Source organism: Homo sapiens, chromosome 5 (assembly GCF_000001405.40).
Source record: "Homo sapiens chromosome 5, GRCh38.p14 Primary Assembly".
NCBI lineage: Eukaryota > Metazoa > Chordata > Mammalia > Primates > Hominidae > Homo > Homo sapiens.
In genome coordinates, this window is record NC_000005.10 from 97185027 (window position 1) to 97194084 (window position 9058).

Here is a 9058-nt window from a genome sequence, read left to right on the forward strand (position 1 = left end):
TTTAATTTTTTGAGAAATCTCCATATACTTTTCCACAGTGGCTGTACTAATTTACATTCTCATCAACAGTGTATAAGAGTTCTCTTTTCTCCGCATCTTCACCAACATCCATTATTTTTTGTCTTTTTAACAGTAGCCATTTGGACTGGGGTAAGATAATATCTCATTATGGCTTTGATTTTCATTTCTTATATACTTAGTGATGTTGAGCAATTTTTCATGTACCTGTTGGCCATTTGTATGCAAATAACTAACTTCTAGAGCAAGAATGGAATGGGAAACAAGCCATTTATGTTTCTACTCCGAATCCAGCACTTTAGCAAATGTTCCTAATCTATTATGGTGTAATTCTTACATTATTTCTCAACATTGCCTCAGACAGCCACCATTAACTGAGTGGAATTGACTAGAATTGCTATTGGTGTTCTGAAGTATGCCTTACGGTTAATCACATTAAGTCCAAATCTCTTATATTTGGAATATTACTTTTAAAATAAAATCATTTTAATAATCAGAACTTTGAAGAGTAAAAGTAAGTGATTGAAGTGCAGTTTGGTATTCTGTTCTACTCCCTCATACCATGCTTAGTGATGAGTAAAACAAAACATGTACAGTATTATTCGTTAATGCATTCACTATTCATCAAACATATATGCCATACTTTTTTACTAGGTCCTGGGGAATCAATCTCAACCCTCATACCTGTGTTGGAGGGTGAAGAGTAGAAAAATAGAGAGTAGTGTGACACAGATGTGCAAAAGGTGTATCATGTTGGTGTTTCCTCCTCCCTTACCTCCCCTGCCCTGACCCTGTCCTTACAAGTTGCAGAGAACCTTAACTGTCTACAGATCAAAGTGCACGTTTAGACTGGCATTCAGGATTGTCAACAATCTGTATCACCATCTTCAAGCAGTTTGTACTCTTGTCTAATTGAACTACTTTTGTTTTCCCTGTATAACTCCCTTAAATTTCTTTTTTACTAAGTTTTCCCTTCACCTGTAATACTTTTCCCTCCACCTGTAATATTACCTCTTCCCTACTGTTTTTCTTCTTTTTCAATCACAATATATGTAAATCTTATCTACCATTAAAATTCTATTCACCACATAAGGTTTTTCTTTATTATTCCTATTTATCTCTATATTAATTTTCTCTTGCTGCTGTTAACATATTACCGCAAACTTTGACGACTTAAAACAATAGAACTTTATTCTCTTACAGTTCAGGACGCTGGAAATAAGAGATTATTTTTACTGGGTCAAAATCAACGTGTTGACAGGACCATGTTCCCCCAAGAGGGGCTCTAGTGGAGAATTTGTTCCTTGCCTTTTGCAGCTCCTACTGGGATTTGGTGACTGCTGGCATTCTTTTGGCTTGTGGCACATCACTCCAGTCTCTGTCTCCATGCTTACGTTATTGCCTTCTCTACTCGTGAGTGTGTGTGTTTCCTTCTGTCTCTGTCTTATACAAATACATGTAATTGCACTTAGGATCCACTCAGACCCTTAATAACATCTGTAAAATATTTTTTTCCATATAGGATAAATTCTTAGGTTCTAGAAATTAGTATGTGGATATTTTTGGATGGGTCATCATTCAACCTCTCACACTCTCAAAGGGAAGTAAGTGCTCCTCCCTCTAATCTTCTGTAGCCTGTTGTCTTTAATGATTCTGGCCACTTTTTAACCTCTCCTGCTTGCCCATAGGTTAGGTTAATTACAGAAAAAGTTGAATGTGGAGACTGAATTTAAAGCATAGATTCAAGAAAAAGAAATTTTGTATATTTACATTTAAGATATTATACTAGCTAAAACTCAGAAAAAATTATGATAGATTTTACTGCATATGGGTGGTAGCGCCATACATTTGCATATAAGGGATATCAGTGGTGGAAAAAGACACAGAATGGAAGATAGGGATGTGTGGAGTTTATGGCAAGTTTCAATGGGAGACTCACAACACAAACTTGTTGAATTCAGAAGCATGTTCAGAATACACAGCAGAGATTTATATACCTTTTGAAAAATAGCTCCTGGCGTGCTGCAGAGCCCTGGGAGAGATGTGTTGCTTGGCGCTGAGATATCACACAGGTGACATCGGGGTCACAGTTGTTCAGTAATGATCTATCCTAAGATGAAAGTGGTACGTGCAGGAGTGAACACAAGCAGGACCAGAGGGTGCAAGCTGCATGAGCAGGTGGACTGGACTCTTTCATGTCATCCACTACCATTGCCCAAGTGCCTTTCCCTCAACTTATATCTCCATGGGTGATACCTTTGATCAGTTGGTGAAGCAAAAAAAGCCCACATTAGATTCACGGATGGGTCAGTTTGATTTTGTAGTTGAACTACAGCTCTATTTGTGTGTCCTTGAAAGAGAAGTGATCAGGGAATATCCTCCTGATGGGCAGATCTTTGGAAGGTGCACTTCATCATTCACTTTGTGTAGTAAGAGAAATAGCCCCAGGTTAAAATATACATGGACTCATGGGGAAGGGTGAATGGCTTGGCTGGTTGGAAAGGGACTTGGAAGAAGAATTAGTAGATTGGGAACAAGGATGTCTGAGGTAGAGGGGTATGAGAAAGGATATATGGGTGTGCACAAGAAATGTGAGTAAAGGAACTGGTCCGTGGCCTGGGGGTTGGGGACCCCTGCTTTCGAGTCAAAAGCCTCGAGGCCTCCTTTGGTACTACACCACAGTTAAACTTTTTCCTTTGCCTAATCCTACTTCTTTCCCTGCTCTTCTTAAAGAGTTGATCATAAGAGCACTCTGTATTAATATTCCCACATGCCACTCTGCAGTACAGAGTCGGCTTCGTGTGAAAGTCCACCTTCACCAGTGTTTTTCTGGGCCTTCAGCATAGTGATAATGGGACCCTTCCATAAAGGTGGGATAGGCAAAATAAGACCTCCAACTGAGAGATATTATCATTGGCTTAACTCTGACACTAACTAGTTTTTGATCTTGGGTATGCCTTTAATTTCACTCATTCAAACAAGTTTTTATTTTGAATGTTTACAATGCATTTTGGTAGACAAAACTCAGTTCCTTTACTCAAGAAGTTTATAGGTCTAATGGGTCATAGGTTCTTTATTTGTATTATGAAGGGGATAGACTTGAATTAGTGTTTCTAAACCTCTTGTTCATTTAAGTCCCCATCACAGACCCCGTCACCTTCATTTCTTTGTGGTTGAGAATCACTCTCTTCTGTGTATCCTTAAGGACCAAGAATATTTGGTTAACTGAATATCCAAAACAATCTTGATCAGTAAATCTTGTCCCTTACCCCCCTTCCCACCTGAATCCACAAAGCTCATTGTATCATTCTTATGGCTTTACATCATCATAGCGTAGCTCCCACTTAATAAGTGAGAACATATGATGTTAGGTTTTCTATTCCTGAGTTACTTCACATAGATGGAATCTCCAATTCCATCCAGGTTGCTGCAAATGCTATTATTTAGTTCCTTTTTATGGCTGAGTAGTATTCCATGGTCTATGTGTATGTATGTGTGTGTGTGTGTGTGTGTGTGTGTATCACAATTTTTTTTTTTTTTGAGATGGAGTCTCGTTCTGTTGCCGAGGCTGGAGTGCAGTGGTGCAATCTCGGCTCACTGCAAGCTCCGCCTCCCGGGTTCACGCCATTCTCCTGCTTCAGCCTCCCGAGTAGCTGGGACTACAGGCGTCTGCCACCATGCCTGGCTAATTTTTTGTATTTTTAGTAGAGATGGGGTTTCACCATGTTAGCCAGGATGGTCTAGATCTCCTGACCTCATGATCTGCCCACCTTGGCCTCCCAAAATAACTGGGATTACAGGCATGAGCCACCGTACCCGGCCAACATATTTTCTTTATCCACTTGTTGATTTATAGACATTTGGGTTGGTTCTATATTTTTGCAACTGCAAATTGTGCTGCTATAAACATATGTGTGCAAGTATCCTTTTGTATAATCACTTCTTTTCCTCTGGGATTGCTGGATCAAATGGTTGATCTACTTTTAGTTCTTTAAAAAAATCTTCATGCAGCTTTCCATAGTGGTTGTACTAGTTTGCATTCCTACCAGCAGTGTAAAAGTGTTCTCTTTTCACCACAACCATGCCAACATCTATTATTTTTTGATTTTTGGGTTATGGCCATTCTTGCAGGAATAAGGTGGTATCATATCATGGTTTTGATTTGCATTTCCCTGATCATTGGTGATGTTAAGCATTTTTTCATATGTTTGTTGGCCATTTGTATATCTTCTTTTGAGAATTGTCTATTCATGTCCTTAGCCCACTTTTTGATGGGATTGTTTATTTTTTTCTTGCTAGTTTGTTTAAGTCAATTCCTTGTAGATTCTGGATATTAGTCCTTTGTCAGATGCATAGTTTGCAAAGATTTTCTCCCACTTTGTGGGCTGTTTTTTCTTCCTAGTTTGTTTAAGTCAGTTCCTTGTAGATTCTGTATATTAGTCCTTTGTCAAATGCATAGTTTGCAAAGATTTTCTCCCACTTTGTGGGCTGTTTACTCTGCTGATTATTTCTTTTGCTGTGCAGAAACTTTTTAGTTTTATTAAATTCCATCTGTTTATTTTTGTTTCTGTTGCATTTGCTTTTAGGTTCTTTGTCATTAAGTCTTTGCCTGAGCCAATGTCTAGAAGGGTTTTTCTGATGTTATCTTCTAGGATTTTTATGATTTAGGTCTTAGATTTAAGTCTTTTATCTATTTTGTGTTGATTTTGTATAAAGGGGAGATGAGGATCCAGTTTCATTCTTCTACATGTGGCTTGCCAATTATCCCAGCACCATTTGTTGAATAGAGCGTCCTTTCCCCACTTTATGTTTTTGTTTGCTTTGTCAAAGATTGGTTGGCTGTATTTGGCTTTATGTCTGGGTTCTCTTTTCTGTTTCATTGGTCTACATGCCTATTTTTATACCAGTGCCATGCTGAGTTGGTGACTATAGCCTTATAGTATAGTTTGAAGTTGGGTAATGTGATGCCTCTCTACTTTCCAGGAATTTATCCATGTCTTTTAGGTTTTCTAGTTTATGCATGTAAAGGTGTTCACAGTAGCCTTGAATGATCTTTTGTATTTATATAGTGTCAGTTGTAATATCTCCTGTTTTGTTCCTTATTGAGCTTATTTGTATTTTCTCTCCTCTTTTCTTGGTTAATCTTGCTAATCGTCTATCAATTTTATTTATCTTTTCAAAGAACCAGTTTTTTGTCTTATTTATCTTTTTTTTTTTTTTTTTTGAGATAGAGTCTCGCTCTGTCGCCCAGGCTGGAGTGCAGTGGCATGATCTCGGCTCACTGAAAGCTCTGCCTCTGGGGTTCATGCCATTCTCCTGCCTCAGCCTCCCAAGTAGCTGGCACTACAGGCACCTGCCACCACACCTGGCTAATTTTTTGTATTTTTAGTAGAGACGGGGTTTCACTGTGTTAGCCAGGATGGTCTCAATCTCCTGACCTCCTGATTCATCCACCTCGGCCTCCCAAAGTGCTGGGATTACAGGCGTGAGCCACCGCGCCCAGCCTTATTTATCTTTTGTATTGTTTTATTTTTGTTTCAATTTCATTTAGTTCAGCTCTGATCTCAGCTATTTCCTTTCTTCTGCTGGGTTTGGGTTTGGTTTGTTCTTGTTTCTCTAGTTCCTTGAAGTGTGACCTTAGATTGCCTATTTGTGCTCTTTCAGACTTTTCGATGTTGGCATTCAGTGCTATGAAGTTTCCTCTTAGCACTGCTTTTGGTGTATCCCAGGTGTTTTGATAGGTTATGTCACTGCTATCATTCAGCTCAAAGGATTTTAAAATTTCCATCTTGATTTCATTGTTGACCCAGTGATCATTCAGGAGTAGGTTATTTAATTTCCATGTATTTGCATGCTTGTGAGGGTTCCTTTTGGAGTTGATTTCCAATTTTATTCCACTAGAGTCTGAGGGAATACTTGATCTAGTTTTGATTTTCTAAATTTATTGAGACTTGTTTTGTGGCCTATTATATGGTCTTTCTTGGAGAATGTTCCATGTGCTGATGAATAGAATGTATATTCTGCAGTTGTTGGGTAGAATGTTCTATAAATATCTGTTAAGTCCATTTTGTTTTAGGATATAGTTTAAGTCTGTATTTCTTTTTTGACTTTCTGTCTTGATGGCCTGTCTAGTGCTGTCAGTGGAGTACTGAAATCCTCCACTATTATTGTGTTGCTGTCTATCTCATTTCTTAGGCAGGTCTAGTAGTACTTGTTTTATAAATTTGGGACCTCCAGTGTTAGGTGCATATATATTTAGGATTGTTATATTTTCTTGTTGGACTAGTCCTTTTATCATTATATAATGTCACTCTTTGTCTTTTTTTGTTGTTGTTGTTGCTTTGAAGTCTGTTTTGTCTGATATAAGAATAGCTACTCCTGCTTGCTTTTGGTGTCCATTTGCATGGAATGTCTTTTTCCTAGTTTATGTGAGTCCTTATGTGTTAGATGAATCTCTTGAAGTCAGCAGTTAGTTGGTTGGTGAATTCTTATCCATTCTGCCATTCTGTATCTTTTAAGTGGAGCATTTAGGTCATTTACACTGAAGTTAGTATTGAAAATGAGATACTATTCTATTTGTTGTGCTAGTTGTTGCCTGAATACCTGCTGCTAATCTGATAGGTTTTCCTTTGTAGGTCACCTGATGCTTTTGCCTCACAGCTCTTAAGATTCTTTCCTTTGCCTTGACTTTAGATAACCTGATGATTTTGTGCCTAAGCGATGATCTTTTGCAATGAATTTCCTGGGTATTCTTTGAGCTTCTTGTATTTGGATGTCTAGATCTCTAGCAAGGCCAGGAGCTTCCCTCGATTATTCCCTTAAATATGTTTTCCAAACTTTTAGATTTCTCTTCTTCCTCAGGAACACCAATTATTCTTGGGTTTGGTTGTTTAACATAATCCCAAACTTCTTGGAGGCTTTGTTTATTTATTTTTTATTATTTTTTCTTTGTCTTTATTGGACTGGGTTAATTTGAAAGCCTTGCTGTCGAGCTCTGAAGTTCTTTCCTCTACTTATTTGATTCTATTGCTGAGACTTTCCAGTGTATTTTCCATTTCTCTAGGTGTGTCCTTCATTTCCAGAAGTTATAATTGTTTTTTATTTATGCTATCTGTTTCTCTGGAGATTTTTCCCATCCATATCTTGTATAATTTTTATTTCTTTAAGGTGGTATTCACTTTACTGTGGTGCCTCCTTAAATAGCTTAATAATCGACCTTCTGAATTCTTTTTCTGGCAATTTGGAGGTTTCTTCTTGGTTTGGATCCATTGCTTGTGAGGTAGTGTGATTTTTTTGGGGTGTTAAAGAACCTTGTTTTGTCATATTACCAGAATTGTTTTTCTGGTTCCTTCTCATTTGGGTATACTATGTGAGAAGAAAAGATCTGGGGCTCAGGGGCTATTTTTCAGATTCTTTTGTCCCACGGGGTGATCCCTTGATGTAGTAGTGCTCTCCCCCTTCCCCTAGGGATGGAGCTTCCTGAGAGCCGAACTGCCGTGATTGTTATTTCTCTTCTGCATCTAGCTACCAGTGGATCTACGAGCTACCAGGCTCAAGGCTGGTACTGGGGCATGTCTGCAAAGAGTCCTGTGATGTTATTTATCTTCAGGTCTCTCAGCTATGGATACCAGCATTTGCTCTGGTGGAGGTAGCAGGGGAGTGAATTGGACTCTATGAGGGTTCTTGGTTGCAGTTTTGTTTAGTGCACTGGTTTTGTGTTGGTTGGCCTCCAGCCAGGAGGTGGTGCTTTCGAGAGAGCATCAGCTGTGGTAGTATAGGGAGGATACAAGCTTGCCTTAGGGTTGCCTGCATAAATATTCAGGTTTTTCAGGTGGTAGTTGGGCCCATAGAGCTCCCAAGAAATTATGTTCTTTGTATTTGGCTATCAGGGTGGGTAGAGAAAGACCATCAAGTTGGGGCAGGGTTATATGTGTCTGAGCTGAGATTTTCTTTATGTGTGGCTTGCTGCAGCTGCTGTGGGGGGCAGGGTATGGTTCTTAGGCTTGCTAACGGAGTTATGTTCCCAGGGGGATTATGGCTGCCTCTGCTGCATCATACAGGTTACCACAGAAGTGGGGAAAAGCCAGTAGTGACAGGCCTCACCGCAGAGCCTGAAGGGCCAGTCTTACTCCCACCGTGCCCCACCAACAGCACTGAGTTTATTTACAGGCAGCTGGTGAGCAGGGCTGAGAACTTGCCCCAGGCTACAAGCCTCCCTGCTGAGAAAGCAAGCAGGGCTTTCAGGTTTCCTGCCTCCCCACATGCCACAGTTTCTGTGCTTGTATCTGTACTCCTAGGTTGCCCCCTCCCTTGGATTCGGTCCAGGAAACTTCGCCTTCAGTCAAAAGTGTTACAAAGTTTGTCTGGAAATTTCCTTCTCCCTTTGGTCTTTCTGTAATTCCACTGGCAGCCCTCCTCAAGGACTCCTGCGAGAGAAAGTCAGGAATGGCTTCCCTGGGGACCGAGAGTGCCCCACAGGGCTCTTTCTGCTGCTTCCTCTACTTCTGTATTTTGCTTGGCTCTAAGTTTGTCTCAACTTCAGGTAAGGTCATATTCTTCTCCCATGATCTAAATCTTCACATTCCCCAGTGAGGATGTATGTTCAGGGGTGGACATCCTTCCTCTCACACTTTGGGCACTCACAGTTTTCTGGCTGTCTTACTGAGCCTGCCGCGGCAAGCTGCTTCATTCAAAGTGTCTATGGATTCTCTTGGTTTTCCTGGTATGTTCCTGTTGTAGTTCTTGGAGCAGAAGTTCATAATGTGAGTCTCTGCATGCTGCTCTGTCCATCTGAGTGGGAGCTGCAAGTTAGTTCTGCCTCCTGTCTGCCATTTTTCCCAATAGATCTGTTTTGATCATTTTACATTGTATACATGTATCAAAACATCACATTGTTCCTCATAAATGTATATAATTATGGTTTGTCAATGAAAAATAATATTAATAAAATATTTGGTTAAGATTTGTTTTATGAAAATAATATATTTTCATTTTGCAAATAGAAAACTATATCACACTGGTAGATACTCATTTTCAAACT

The 9058-nt window shown here is 39.5% G+C and overlaps 1 annotated feature.

Moving 5' to 3' along the window:
* Window positions 8232-8281: a silencer, noted in NCBI's record as "silent region_16202". NCBI's record gives its function as "represses an Ori minimal core promoter by ATAC-STARR-seq in GM12878 lymphoblastoid cells {active_cell/tissue: GM12878}" and the evidence as "EXISTENCE:reporter gene assay evidence [ECO:0000049][PMID:35858748]".